The sequence below is a fragment of the Homo sapiens genome, chromosome 4, assembly GCF_000001405.40.
Source record: "Homo sapiens chromosome 4, GRCh38.p14 Primary Assembly".
Taxonomy (NCBI): Eukaryota; Metazoa; Chordata; class Mammalia; order Primates; family Hominidae; genus Homo; species Homo sapiens.
Genome location: NC_000004.12, coordinates 169,664,630 through 169,680,432, shown reverse-complemented (window position 1 = coordinate 169,680,432; position 15,803 = coordinate 169,664,630). Strand labels below are relative to the sequence as shown.

Genomic DNA, 15,803 nt, shown 5'->3' with positions numbered 1-15,803 from the left:
TTTGTTTTTTAGCTACCTGAAATCCTTTCTGGAAAGTTACAGGGTATAAGTAAACTAAAAAAATTAAACATAGAAAAAGAAAAAAACATGTACCACATATGAAATGTAGACATTTACTTATATTAAATGTAAACATTTGGCAGCCTGAGATCATTGGCAGAAATATATTATTAAAAGATCTAATTATGCACTATGTTTTTAAAAATTTTTACTAAAAACACTTACCCGTCTATGCCTTTCTCTGTCTTTACATTTTTCTCGCACCCAATCAATAGTATGGAAATCATCATATGTACCAACACCTGGAATTGGTTCATCCAAAAGATCCAGTAAATGTGTAGAACTGTTAATGCTGCCTCCATTTGTCATTGTATAATGAGTTCCTACAGAAGAGAAAAGGAAAGATGAGTATGTTTTAGAAGAGACAACAGTGAGCTAAGTGACCTTCTTAGAAATTCATTATTAAGTCATACAGAAATAATCCCTCTCCCTCTCCCTCGTCTCCACCTCCCGCTTTCCACGGTCTCCCCCTCTCCCTCGTCTCCGACTCCCGCCTTCCACGGTCTCCCTCTGTTGCCAAGGCTGGACTGTACTGCCGCGATCTCAGCTCACTGCAACCTCCCTGCCTGATTCTCCTGCCTCAGCCTGCCGAGTGCCTGGGATTGCAGGCACGCGCCGCCACGCCTGACTGATTTTTGTATTTTTTGGTGGAGATGGGGTTTTGCCGTGTTGGCCGGGCTGGTCTCCAGCTCCTGACCTCGAGTGATCTGCCCGCCTCGGCCTCCCAAGGTGCCGGGATTGCAGACGGAGTCTCGCTCACTCAGTGCTCAATGTTGCCCAGGCTGGAGTGCAGTGGCGTGATCTCGGCTCGCTACAACCTCCACCTGCCAGCCGCCTGCCTTGGCCTCCCAAAGTGCTGAGATTGCAGCCTCTGCCCGGCCGCCACCCCGTCTAGGAAGTGAGGAGCGTCTCTGCCTGACTGCCCATCGTCTGGGATGTGAGAAGCCCCTCTGCCCGGCCGCCCAGTCTAGGAAGTGAGGAGCACCTCTTCCCGGCCGCCATCCCATCTAGGAAGTGAGGAGCGCCTCTTCCCCGCCGCCATCCCGTCTAGGAAGTGAGGAGCGTCTCTGCCCGGCCGCCCATCGTCTGGGACGTGGGGAGCGCCTCTGCCCGGCCGCCCCCTCTGGGATGTGAGGAGCGCCTCTGCCCGGCTGCCCCGTCTGGGAGGTGAGGAGCGTCTCTGCCCAGCCGCCACCCTGTCTGGGAGGTGAGGAGCACCTCTGCCCAGCCGCGACCCCATCTGAGAAGTGAGGAGCCCCTCCGCCCGGCAGCCGCCCCATCTGGGAAGTGAGGAGCGTCTCCGCCCGGCCACCCAGTCTGGGAGGTGGGGGGCGCCCCCGCCCGGCAGCCGCCCCGTCTGGGAGGTGGGGGGCGCCTCCGCCCGGCCGCCCAGTGTGGGAAGTGAGGAGCCCCTCTGCCTGGCCGCCACCCTGTCTGGGAGGTGTACCCAACAGCTCATTGAGAACGGGCCATGGTGAGGATGGCAGTTTTGTCAAATAGAAAAGGGGAAATATGGGGAAAAGAGAGATCAGATTGTTACTGTGTCTGTGTAGAAAGAAGTAGACACAGGAGACTCCATTTTGTTCTGTACTAAGAAAAATTCTTCTGCCTTGGGATGCTGTTAATCCATAACCTTACCCCCAACCCCCTGCTCTCTGAAACATGTGCTATGTCAACTCAGGGTTAAAGGGATTAAGGGCGGTGCAAGATGTGCTTTGTTAAACAGATGCTTGAAGGCAGCATGCTCATTAAGAGTCATCACCACTCCCTAATCTCAAGTACCCAGGGACACAAACACTGTGGAAGGCCGCAGGGTCCTCTGCCTAGGAAAACCAGAGACCTTTGTTCACATGTTTATCTGCTGACCTTCCCTCCACTATTGTCCTATGACCCTGCCAAATCCCCCTCTCCGAGAAACACCCAAGAGTGATCAATAAATAGTAAAAAAATTTAAAAAAAAGAAATAATATCACTTGAAATCATTGCAATTAGAGAAAAATGTGTTAAGAAAAATTATCCAAAACTTGGAAGTAAGGCCAAAAGATTATGGCATGTTCTCTTAAAGTCAAGCCCGAGTGTCAACAATTAGCCTGCATAATAGTCACCTGACGCTGCGGAGAATTTTGAAGACTATTTACTACTGATTAGGGAATAGACTCTGTAAAATTAGAAAATGATTTGTAAAAGATAAATTGAAAATAGTAATTTTTATCTGGTAAAATGCAAATGAATTCTGTCCAGTAGAAACAATAACCCTTAGAGTTGTGGTTTTGTTTTTGCCCTGTAAGAATTTGCTTTCTTTCACTGATGATATACACTTCATCTCACACATCCTCTTCTCAATCAGCCTTGTCATCAGGCGGGTTCCCTCATTAGAGTCAAATAAATCTTTGACACATGTTCACCATATATCTTATATGAGTATCACAGACTTCAGAAATGTATCAGGAAGGACATTAAAAGATAGCTCAAGAAAAAGAAATACAATTGGCTTTTAAATATGAAAATAAGCTCAAGCTAACACATAAAAAGAAATGGAAATCAAATCCACAATATCATTTCCCTCTATCAGATTAGTAAAGATGAAGTGTGTGAATGCATTAATTTAGCAAAGCTATGGAGAAAGAAGTCCTATCACAAAATTAGTAGTTTAAGTATGAAATGGAATAATCCCTTTGGGAAGGCGAAAGCTAACAAAATTTAACATACACAGATGCTCTTCAACCTAGCAAGTTCACTTCTAGGTTTTTTTCTTGCAGCTACACTTGCATAAATCCTTGAATAAACCCATAAATTATGCACAATGTGGGCAGAACATCTTACTGTGTGCTATAGAAAGAAAACAAAAACATAATAATGCCAAAGTGCTCATAATCTAAAACGGGTTGGCAAAGAGCCAGAGAGTAAATATTTTAGGCTTTGGATGCCACACAGTTGCAACAACTCAATTCTGCCATAGTAGCAGAAAATAAATCATAGACAATATGTTCATGAATGAGTCTGAATGTGTTCTGATAAAACTTTATTTACAAAACAGGTGAAGGGCAGGATTTGGCACATGGCTCATAGTTTGCCAATCCCTGATCTAAAGTCTGTACAGCAGACTTTACAACTGAAGACTTCTATTAAGAATTTTTTACATAAATAGCACTTTACAGTGTAGCAGATACAAAGAGAATTAAAAAAAACTGCCCCTAACTTCCAGGTGCAATATATTATAATATTTTTATAATATAACAAATTATATTTCAAAATAAAGTTCAAATACTGAAGTTCCAAGGTTCCAATATTCTTTGACTACAATTCTAGTCATGTTACCTATATTTAATTTGTTAAAAAGAAAGAAATCTTGGGACTGTAGCACCTGGAACTAGGCGGATTAATCTAAGAAAACTTCCTAAAAAATATGAATTTTAAATTGTAATATGAAATAAATTAGGCTATGGTTTCACAATGAGAATTATAGCTATACATTCCATGTTAGATACACTTAACACCTATTTCTGAAAGAAGAAACATATATGAGTATAGTCTGTAAAAGACAATTTATATTGCTATTAGAAAAAGAGCTTTTGGGCCAGGTGCAGTGGCTCACGCTTGTAATCCCAGCATTTTGGGAGGCTGAGATGGGTGGATTGCTTGAGCTCAGGAATTTGAGACCAGCTTGGGCAACATGGCAAAACCTCATCTCTACTAAAAATACAAAAAAAAAAAAAAAAAAATGCTGGGCATGGTGATATGTGTCTGTAGTCCCAGCTACTCAGTAGGCTAAGTTGAGAGAATTGCTTGAGCCCAGGTTGGTCGTCGTGCCACTGCATTTCAACCGGGCCAAGAGCAAGATGCTGTCTCAAAAAAAAAAAGAAAAGAAAAAGAGTTTAGAGTGTAAAAAACAGGCTGGGTAAGAAATATGATAATCCAAGTGAAAATTATTAGACCTGAGAGTGGAAGTAAAGAGATACAAACATTTTGGGAAGAAATTTGGAAATACCTATCAAAATATAAGGGTTCTATGTCTAGGAATTAATTCTACAAGTGCACAAAAGCTTAAATATTTAATTGAACCATTATCTGTAATACTGAAAAATTCAAACCTATGGAAATGTCTCATCTATTGGTAATGAATGAAATGCAGCAGTTAAAAAGAATAAGGTTGATCAATATATACTGGTATAAAAAATTGGCCATAATAAATTGCAGTTTTTAAAAAAGGGCCAGGTGTAGACCAGCATTTTTAATATGCAAATTACTGTGTAAAATTTATACAGTAATACACAGAATACAGAGAAAACAGTATGACCAAACATGAGACAACATATTAATAACGGTTATCTCTGGGGATTACAATTGTCAAAAGCAGAAAATGAACTTTCATTTTCTACTTTGTACTTACAGGTATACATATATGTATAAGCACACACACAGTATTTTCATAGAACCATAGAGACAGCTATGAAAATAGAGAAATTCTAACGAATCCAATCATCATTTAAGTAAATAGAGCAATGAACTGTTACCAAAAGGCCCAGATTCTAGTCCTGGACAGCTAACTTTAGACAAGTCTCCTTTAAATATTAAGTATCTATCAGCATCCTTGACAACTACATGATATATGCTACAGCTTATAATAAAGATACATAAACAAAGAAACATTTAAATTTTTTCCAAAGCACTATAAACTTTGAAAACCTCATACATAATTTCAAATAGGTGATTTTAGCATAAGTGATTATAAATTATATCCTCAAATTATTTTGTAATGCAGATTTTAATGCCAAAAATTACTCAGAGGTTATTATTGAAAATGTAGCTCATTATTTGATATAGAATATAAGAAGTGGCACTCTGTACTAATGTTTAAAAAAATTGTAAAAATAAAACACAAGATATGTTTATTTTATTATAGGACTTTTAAGGAATGGAACAAAATTCCCAGACTACTCTTGCCATCTTTCTAGTTTAAACAAACTCATTCTCTTTGGTTTACAGATTAAAAAACAATTATATATGTTAAAGCCAGAATCTGAACTTCTCGTAATCACTATAAACATTCTTAGACTAGATCAAGAGATCATGTGAAATCAACTTGGGGTGGGATAAGGGAGGAATACACAAAGAACCACGATGCCAATACTATTAACTAATTTTATTACTCCTGAGATATAAGCCAAATAAACTATAGAGTAGGTTTTTTGATAATTCTGGGAGGACATGAATATAGAAGGCGCTAATATTTTAAACAACGTAATAGTACTAATAAATGTTTGCTTCTACCAGGTCCAACAGGGTTCTTGCTTATCTCCCTATTTATTACATTTAAATGCCTGCCTTGGAAGCCGGGAGTGGTGGCCCACGCCTGTAATCCCAGTACTTTGGCAGGCTGAGGAGGACGGATAGATTGAGCGCAGGAGTTGGAGACCAGCCTGGGCAACATGGCAAAACCCCATCTCTACAAAAACTAGCTGGGCATGGTGGTGTGCACCTGTAATCCCAGCTACTCGGGAGGCTGAAGTGGAAGGACTGCTGGAGTCTGGGAAACAGAGGCTGAAGTGGGCTGTGATTGCGCCAATGCACTCCAGCCTGGGCGACAGAGCAAAACTCGTCTCCAAAAAAAAAAGTGTACCTTGGAAAGGTGTAAAACTTCTAAAAGGAGAGTGGCACACTGATTTCAGTGTTTTAGCAGAAGTACTCCAAAAAATAATAATAATAATAATTGATACCATTCTTGGCCAAAGGTTTAAAGGCCCAATCCCTGCATCAATGCCCACTTTCATTTACATACAACACATACTCAAAAGCTCAATCTTAAAGCTTTAATAAAGCTCTTCCCCACCCTCCCATCCTAATGTTATGTAGTAACTTCCACTTTGAAAAGCTAGCTGAAAGGCCACAAATTTTCTTGAGAAAAAGCAATTGGAGAATAAATATAACAGGAATACTTATAATATCTTGACATATGTGAGAATCTCTGACTCTGCTTTCCATATAATATTAAAATTGATCATTTAGAAAATGCAAATGCCACTTAGGCTTTCTGGTAAGATATACAGTACTTCTGTGGTACTCTGGCCAGAAATGCATAAAATGAATCTTATAAGGAAAAACCAGACACACCCAAACTAAGGGAAATTCTGCAAAATATATGGATTGTACTCTCCAAAAATGTCAAGGTTATGAAAGATAAAGAACTGAGGAACGGTTCTAGATTAAAACAACAGGATGTAACATGTGCTCCAGGATTAGCTCCTAGACCAGGAAAAAAAACTTTTTTCTTTTGTACTAAAGGACACAGTGGGACAACTGGCATATTGGAAAATGGTCTGCAGATCATGTCATAGTATGGTATCAATGTAAATGTTCTGATTTTGAAAAGTGTAGAAGTGTACGGTAGCTATACAGAAGAAAATGCCCTTTCTTGAGGGAATACACACACTGAAGTATTTAGGAGTAAAAGCACGTCATGTCTGCGTTTTACTCTTTATGTGGCTCAGAAAAAAATATATAGTGCATACATGCCCTATGTCTATATAAAATGCTACATATTACATATAATGGCATATATCGTACTTGGAGAATACAGACATAATGAACAAATGTGGTAAAATATTAATATTTCAGGAATTGGGGTGACAGGTATATGGGATTCTTTGTACTATTTTTAAACTTCTGTAAGTCTGAAGTTACTTTAAGAAAAAGCCTACTATGAAATATTTTGCAAACTTCATTTTCCCTCCTACATTGCCCTTCTCTGGGTAGAGCTGAAGAAATATGGACTACTGGTCTTGTTACTCTTTATGCAAAAAAAAAAAAGTGAAATTTCTATACCACTTAACATGTATCCATAATACATCGCTAGCCCCACTTAAAGAATTTTCAAGCTATTTACAGCGTGAAGATAATAAGCAAACAAAATATGAATTTCTGCAAAGACTTACGAATGACGAAGTGGAAAAGTACAGACTGCTATTCTCATTTTTATGAGGTAGAAAAAGGTACAGTAGTGCAATAAACATTTACATTAGGCATGTGTCTTGCTTTCAGTGACTTTCAAATAATTACTCTGTGGAAACTACTCAACATCTTAATTTACACAACGATTCAGCAATTCAAAATCTCTGAAAACCAGAAAATTTTCAAACATTCAAACATTTACTTTAGTATGTGACATTTCAAATATTTTCTCTTATAATTTGTTCTGTCAAACATGCAAATCTGAATAGTATAAAGAAGGAGAAGAAAAGGAAAATTTCTATCCTAAACTGGGGAGAAGCCACTATATTTCTAATGTGAAAAGGAATTTTAAAGGTATTATGTTTTCTAACAATAACAATAGCTTTAAAATAATCCTATTGCACTGTTTCTTTGCATATAATTCTCTGAATGAAACCTAGATTTGTGTAAGATATAACTTACAGCCGGGCGCGGTGGCTCCCGCTTGTAATCCCAGCACTTTGGGAGGCTAAGGCACATGGATCACAAGGTCAGGAGTTCAAGACCAGCCTGGCCAAGATGGTGAAACCCTGTCTCTACTAAAAATAAAAAAAATTAGCTGGGCGCGGTGGCAGGTGCCTGTAATCCCAGCTATTCAGGAGGCTGAGGCAGGAGAATCGCTTGAATGCAGGAGGCGAAGGTTGCAGTGAGCCGAGATTGCACCACTGCACTCTAGCCTGGGTGACAGAGCAAGACTCCATCTCAAACAAAACAAACAAACAAACAAACAAAATATATATAACTTATATAGGCTAAAATGAGATAAGTACAAAAAATTACATATATGTTAAAATTTTTTAAAAGCAACAGTATATCCAATTTCACCTCTCGATTTCATCTTACGCATGAATAAAGGATGTATCTTTTAGGTACCGTCACAGCATAAATTAAAGTTCTCTTCTACATAAAGTACATCTCCTCTTTTTTCCTATAATAATATATCAAAGGCTGGGCGTGGTGACTCACACCTGTAATCCCAGCACTTCGGGAGGCTGAGGCAGGCAGCTCACTTGAGACCAGGGGTTTGAGACTAAACTGGCTAACATGGTGAATCCCCGACTTCATTAAAAATACAAAAATTATCTGGGTGTGGTGGTGCACGTCTGTAGTCCCAGATCCTCATTTTATCTATCTATCTATCTATCTATCTATCTATCTATCTATCATTTATTTTGAGATGGAGACTCGCTCTGTCACCCAGGCTGGAGTGCAGTGGCGCGATCTCGGCTCACTGCAAGCTCTGCCTCCCGGGTTCAGGCCATTCTCCTGCCTCAGCCTCCCGAGTAGCTGGGACTACAGGCGCCCACCACCACGCCCGGCTAATTTTTTTTTATTTTTAGTAGAGACGGGGTTTCACGGTGTTAGCCAGGATGGTCTCAATCTCCTGACCTCGTGATCTGCCCGCCTCGGCCTCCCAAAGTGTCGGGATTACAGGCGTGAGCCACTGTGCTCACAGTTAGATTTTATTAACCTAAAATGACAGGATTTGCCTTGGATCAGCCATTTCTCAAAGCATATGCAGTTCTCACTTACCTGTGAAGACAGTAGTAGAGCTGTAGTGGAACACCTCCAGGAAAGACTAAGCAAGTTCCTTAGTCCATGCTATTTTCTTGACCCCTCCACACACCTTCCCCACACCAATTCAGTCAGAGACATCCATTGCCATAGGAAAAGAAATACACAGCAGAGCATGGAGAACACGATTCGATATTACAGTATCCCAGTTTCAAATGTAGGCTTCTGAAACCCACAGAGGAGAAAAATTCTTTTTTTTTAAATTTAAGTTCTGGGATACATGTTCAGAATGTGCAGGTTTGTTACATAGGTGCACATGTGCCATGGTGGTTTGCTGCACTTACCAACCCATCGTTTAGGTTTTAAACCCCAAATGCATTATGTATTTGTCCTAATGCTCTCCCTCCCCTTGTCCCCCACCCTCCAACAGGCCTCGGTGTGTGATGTTCCCCTCCCTGTGTCCATGTGCTCTCATTGTTCAACTCCCACTTATAAGTGAGAACATGCAGTGTTTGGCTTTCTATTTCTGTGTTAGTTTGCTGAGAATGATGGCTTCCAGCTTCATCCATGTCCCTGCAAAGGACACGATCTCATTCTTTTTTATGGCTGCATAGTATTCCATGGTATATATGTGCCACATTTTCTTTATCCAGTCTACCATTGATGGCTTTTTGGGTTGGTTTCAAGTCTTTGCTATTGTAAATAGTGCTATAATAAACATACGTGTGCATGTGTCTTTATAGCAGAATGATTTATAATCCTTTGGGTATACACCCAGTAATGGGACTGCTGGGTCAAATGGTATTTCTGGTTCTAGATCCTTGAGGAATCGCCATACTGTCTTCCACAATGGTTGAACTAATTTACACTCCCACCAACAGTGTAAAAGCATTCCTATTTCTCCACAGCCTTACCCACATCTATTCTTTTTTGACTTTTTATAATAATCACCATTTGACTGGCATGAGATGACATCTCATTGTGGTTTTGATTTTCATTTCTCTAATGATCAGTGATGATGAGTACAACTTAAAAGAGACGTGAAGGACCTGTTCAAGGAGAACTACAAACCACTGCCCAAGGAAATAAGAAACGACACAAACAAATGGAAAAACATTCCATGCTCATGGATAGGAAGAATCAATATCATGAAAATGGCCATACTGCCCGAAGTAATTTATAGATTCAACGCTATTCCCATCAAGCTACCATTGACTTTCCTCACAAAATTAGAAAAACCTACTTTAAATTTCATATGGAACCAAAAAAGAGCCCGTATGGCCAAGACAATCCTAAGCAAAAATAACAAAGCTGGAGGCATCATACTACCTGACTTCAAACTATACTACAAGGCTCAGTAACCAAAACAGCATAGTACTGGTACCAAAACACATATACAGACCAACGGAACAGAACAAAGACCTCAGAAATAACACCACACATCTACAATCATCTGATCTTCAGCAAACTTGACAAAAACAAGTAATGGGGAAAGGATTCCCTATTTAATATTAATAAATGGTGCTGGGAAAACTGGCTATCCATATGCAGAAAACTGGAACTGGACCCCTTCCTTACACCTTATACAAAAATTAACTCAAGATCGATTTGAGGCTTAAATGTAAAACCCAAAACCATGAAAACCTAGGCAATACCATTCAGGACATAGGCACTGGCAAAGACTTCATGACTGAAACACCAAAAGCAATGGCGACAAAAGCCAAAACAGACAAATAGGATCTAATTAAACTAAAGAGCTTCTGCACAGTAAAAGAAACTATCATCAGAATGAACAAGCAACCTACAGAATGGGAGAAAACTTTTGCAATCTATCCATCTGACATAGGTCTAATATCCAGAATCTACAAGGAACTTAAACAAATGTACAAGAAAAAAACAAACAACCCCATCAAAAAGTGGGCAAAGTATATTAACAGACACTTCTCTGTTCATAAAAAGGAGACATTTATGCGGCCAACAAACATACAAAAAGACTAATAACAGTCAAAACTTTTGAATTCAAAAGATGGGTTTCTGGGTTTCAAAAAGCTTTAAGTAAAAAGGCTTAGGGGTTTCTGCAACAAGCCTGATGAAGAACCAACTTTACCTAACTATATGAGGATTGCTGGGGAGGAGAAAAAAGGGAATCAAGTAAACAAGAGGTTAGAACTATTAAACTGGTGACTGGCTTCAGCCTTTTATATTTTCTATAAGTGAGATACAGGTAAGATCATACTAGCCACACTTAAAAGTTGATTTTTTTATTCATACTTCCTAAAAATTATTTCACATCATTAAATGCACATGCACATTTTCTGTGACTTCAGATAACTATATTTGTCATAACATATTATAATTTATTCATTTTACTTTATTTTTTTAGAGATGGGGTCTTGCTCTGCCACCTAGGCTGGAAAGCAGTGGTGGAAACATAGCTCACTGTAGCCTCAAACCTAGGCTCAAGCAATCATCCTGCCTCAGCCTCCCAAGTAGTTGGGACTGCAGGCAAGCACCACCACACCTGGCTACATACTACAATTTAAACAAATCTTCAGGTTGGTTTGCCATTATGAACATTATCTAACATATATGTATCTGCTCAGCCATCCTCTTTTCCAGTTAATTTTTACGATTTTAAGTCTTTTCTTATTCTCGACTTTTTCTCCAACCCCACTACCAGATATCCAATACTAATAACCAGGTATATTTCCAAACTTAAAATAATCATATTATCCATTTATTATCGTCACATTAGGTTTATTATTTATGTAATAGAACCTGATTGTTTTGCCCACTTGGTATCTCCTTCCCCTTCTTCCTATAACAGAACCCAATTATTTTAAGGAAACTTCTGTCCCTCACTGCATGCAGTCCTGGTGAAGGTATCAATCAAGATACCTTCTCCTCCCCAGCTAAAGAAAACACATAGATCCAAGTTAGACCAATCAAACTGTGGCTCCTAGAAATGTAAATCTTGAGCACAGTGTTAATCAGAACCAATTAATTTTAACAGCTGAAGCTTCAAGAGGACTTAGGATAATTCCATAGTTTCTGCTACCTAAATATCCAGCTCTTGGATGATAAGAAAGTATGACCTGAAAGTTAGTAGCTTCCAAGTTTAAGACAAAAAAAAAAAAAAATCAAAAACTTTTTTGGAGGGCTGACTACCGGATGCCAGTGACTACTATTCTACTACCTAACTCTACTATCTCCTGGCTGAAAAACAGTAACAAAAAAGACTGGAAAAAAGATCACTTTTCTTCCAGGTGGCCTAGTAGAGAAATTCCATGACTTTACTGCACTTTGAGGTCAGAAAGACCTAGAGTCAAATTCCAGCCCTGCCTCCCGTTAGTTCTGTGATCCAGCGCAAGTTACTTATTAACCTCTTTGAGTACCTTGGTTTTGTTACCCACTTCTACTAGAGTATTGTATGTGGACTGGAGACAAATTATGTAAAACATTTAATACTATACTTGACAGATAGTAGAAAAACAATAAACACAAGCTATTATTTCTGCTCAAATATTTGGGTATTTAAAATTTCATCAGGAAAGCCACGTGTAGTGGTGCACACCTGTAGTCCCAGCTAATCAGGACGCTGTGGCAGGAGGCTATATCATCTGAGCCCAGGAGTTCAAGGGAGCCTGGGAAACACAGTGAGATCTCATCTCTATTTAAAAAACAAATAACAAACAAAAAACAACCCCCTCTCACACACACAATTCAGCATGTTGCATTATATTACTCATATGACTAAGTTATAATATCGCTTAACCAAAAGACTAACAATATGACAAAGACAGCAAAAAAAAAAAAAAAAAAAAAAATGTCTGGCCGGGCGCGGTGGCTCACACCTGTAATCTCAGAACTTTGGGAGGCTGAGGCAGGTGGATCACGAGGTCAGGAGTTCAAGAGCAGCCTGGCCAATATGGTGAAACCCCATCTCTACTAAAAAAAATCAGGCGGGCATAGTGGCATATGCCTGTAGTCCCAGCTACTCGGGAAGCTGAGGCAGCAGAATCACTTGAACCCTGGAGGTGGAGGTTGCAGTGAGTGGAGGTTGTGCCACTGCACTCCAACCTGGGCGACAGAGCGAGATCCATCTCAAAAAAAAAAAGAAAAAAAAGTCTTAAAAATTTGGACAATGAGTTCTTCTACAACTGTATATTGAGCAAAAATCCTGTATTTTTAACAGATAACTTAATTCATTATGCCTGGTATGGACACAGAAACAAATTCCTAAAATGCATCATTCATGCATCTCATAGTTCAGGTATTACCAATACTGAAATACCTCCAGCAAGCAGGAAAAATTATCCAATCGATGAACTAAAACTGGCTTGCAACTTTCTTGTAAAAATAACTCTACTAAGAAGATTGTTTTGCCTTATTTTAGTTTTTCCAGAGACAGGGAACTTTATAAAGATCAAGCATACCTATGGAATACAAATCCATTATTTCCTAATATGTGTAATCTAAACATAAAGACTTAAATTTACCTGTAGGAAAATTACTTAAAATTATTCATTATTCTTTTTCCAACTGAGTAACAGCGGTTAAAAAGAAAAAAAAAAGGATTCATTATTCTTTAAAGAAATATTTTTTCTAGTGAGGAAAGAATAGTCTTTTGAATAAATGATGCTGGGACAACTGGCTATTCACGTGCAAAAGAATGAAACCGTACCCCTACCTCACACCATATATAAAAATTAGCTAAAAATGGATCCTAGATCTAAAGAGCTAAAATTATAAAATACAGGAGTAAATTTTTGTGATCCTGAGTTAGGCAGGTTTTTTAGATATGACATCAATGCAAAAGGGACAAAAATAAAAAAAATAGATAAACTGAACTACATCAGAATTAAAATAATCTTTCCCATGTAGAGGCCACTGTTATCTAGCTCATGTCTAATAATAACAGTAAGAACAGCTAATTTTAATTAACTTAATGTGTACCAGACATTGTTCTCAGGACATTACATATATTAGTTCATATAATCCTCACAACAACACAATGTGACAGATATTATTATCTCCACTTTATAAATTTGGAAAACAAGGTGTCAAGAGTTAAACAGGCCCAAGGTCACACCGCTAGCAAGTAGTAGAACAGGGATTCAAACTCTAGCACTTTGATTCTCAAGTCACTAAAATAATTTCATTGTTGGTTTACATGTATACTTTAAGAAATGTGGACAACCTTCTCTCAGAGTAGGTTAAGAACTATTACGTGATGCCTTCTCCCAAACACATATGTATATGCACTTAGCCTTTGGACAATAAATACAATCTTACCCTTCACCATCACCATCCCTCTTTGCCTTTGGTTGCAGTCCACTTTTTCCCATATTATTTAAAATGCTGCAATAGAAAATTGCAGAAGTGGTGAGCACTGCTTTGCTCCCAGCACTCACATCCTTATGCTTTAGCAGAAGTTTACGATAGTAATGCATCCCCATTCTTACCCTCAGTTGTTCCCGACATCTTATGCCACAGGGTGTACCTTTACCCCAGGTGTACTTACAAACAGGTTTTCAAACTTTTTCTTAGCTTTTGAAATGTTTTTCAAACATGAAGTGGAGAAATGTTTCTCACTGACATAGTATATAGATATGTACTTAAATAAAACCAAAGTTTAGTAAACAATGCTTACTCTTACTACTTGGTATATACTGATATTTTATTTTGTTTTTTTAATCTTTCCTTTTAAAATACTGGTCACAAGTCAACTGGTTTCATGATCAACATGTTAAAACTTGAAGTTTGACAAACACTGAACTAGAAAAATATAGGCATTAATAAAATTGTCTGCTTTCCCAAAAATACAAATATAATTTTACCCACAAGCTTTCCACATATATTTGCTGAACTGAACTTAAAAAAAAAAAAACAACACAACCTTAATTGCTGCGCCTTAAACTGAGCTTATTAGTAAATATCACAGTGACACTGGCAGGAGCCTAAGCCTTTTCTCAAAGGGGTTTATCCAAATAATAGTTTTACATGAAAAATGATGCATATAGTTATTTAAAAAGAGTTACTTATTACCTCTGTGATCAATCTCCAAAGATGTGAAATGGTGATCCTCGTCATTTAAGTTCATAATGCAGATTACTGTTACATAAGACACACATAAAACATATGAACCTTTTTAAAAAAATTATGGAAGGAAGAGGCAGAAATCCAAAATACTATGTATTCCTTCACAACCTATTTGCTTCTGTATGTTAAGAGCAGGAAGTCTAGCCCCAGATGGTTTTTTTTTTTCTCTCTCTGTGACCCTACTGATAAGAAATGGCCATCCTGGTAAGGGATGGGAAAGTAAACGTTCTAAGTTGATAGTGGAAGTTCCAGAATGTTAGCAGACTCCAAATCAAAGATTAAAAAGGTAATGGCAAGAATAGTGCCTCACATTTAGCAGGTGGTCAATTAAATGTCTACTGGGTAAATAAATAGCAAAAAAGAAGCATACGCTATTAAAATTTGTTCAGCCATTCAGTCATATTTAACTGTCTAAACTGCAAAGACTTGCAAGTTAATGCCAAATCTCAAAGAAGTTTACCAAAGATACACAACCAGGCAGCAGCAATACTAAGCCCATTACTCAATTCACTGTTTTCTTTTCTGTTCTGTTGCCACCTCAAAATAAAAAGCCACATCCTTAGTTAGAGATGATAAGGTGGATATTAAGACATCTGTGTAATTGGAAACAAGTTCCACATTCAATTATTATGTCTGCAAATATGATGAGCTGTACAATACATGAATAAAAAGGTTTATAAAATTTGCTAAATTTCATATTTCATAAATTTATAAAATTTGTTAGAGAAACTAGAGTAAATCCATTTTATGACCTAATTAAAGTTGCAAAGGGCTACAAAGAAACTAGAAATTAAACATATGTTAACTTAAAAACAAGAAACAAAACCTTAAAGTTCAATTTAAACTACCAGTCTCCTGCATAAACGCAAAGCAGAAACCTCGATGCTGGGAAAATAGCCAAAATTACAAACTTAATCAATGCGGCAGGAAATCTGTTCACACTCGGAAATCTTGATACAAAGCATTTCTGACAAGCCATGAGATGGCATAAAATTAACCATACTAAAGTGTCAGCTATTTTTAGAAAATCAAGCTAGAGGTAGTAATATGAACCAGATTTTATTGAAGATTTGAAATTCAGATACTGTGGGAAAAGTACATTTAAAAACAGGCTTTGTTTTATACTACTGTTGTAGAAA

At 38.1% G+C, this 15,803-nt stretch overlaps 1 protein-coding gene across 9 annotated transcripts in view; it reads right to left on the bottom strand.

Annotated features, from left to right (window-relative positions):
- Nucleotides 1–15,803, bottom strand: part of CLCN3 (chloride voltage-gated channel 3) — a 103,096-nt gene that overhangs the window by 43,241 nt on the left and 44,052 nt on the right. For 6 of the 9 annotated variants that reach the window (NM_173872.4, NM_001829.4, NM_001243372.2 and 3 more), the window contains one exon: nt 226–383. In NM_173872.4, the coding sequence (NP_776297.2) occupies nt 226–383 (158 nt within the window). Of the gene's footprint in view, nt 1–225; nt 384–14,610; nt 14,789–15,803 lie in introns of those variants that run through there. The other 3 variants (XM_011531586.3, XM_047449585.1, XM_047449586.1) reach the window with 2 other exon arrangements.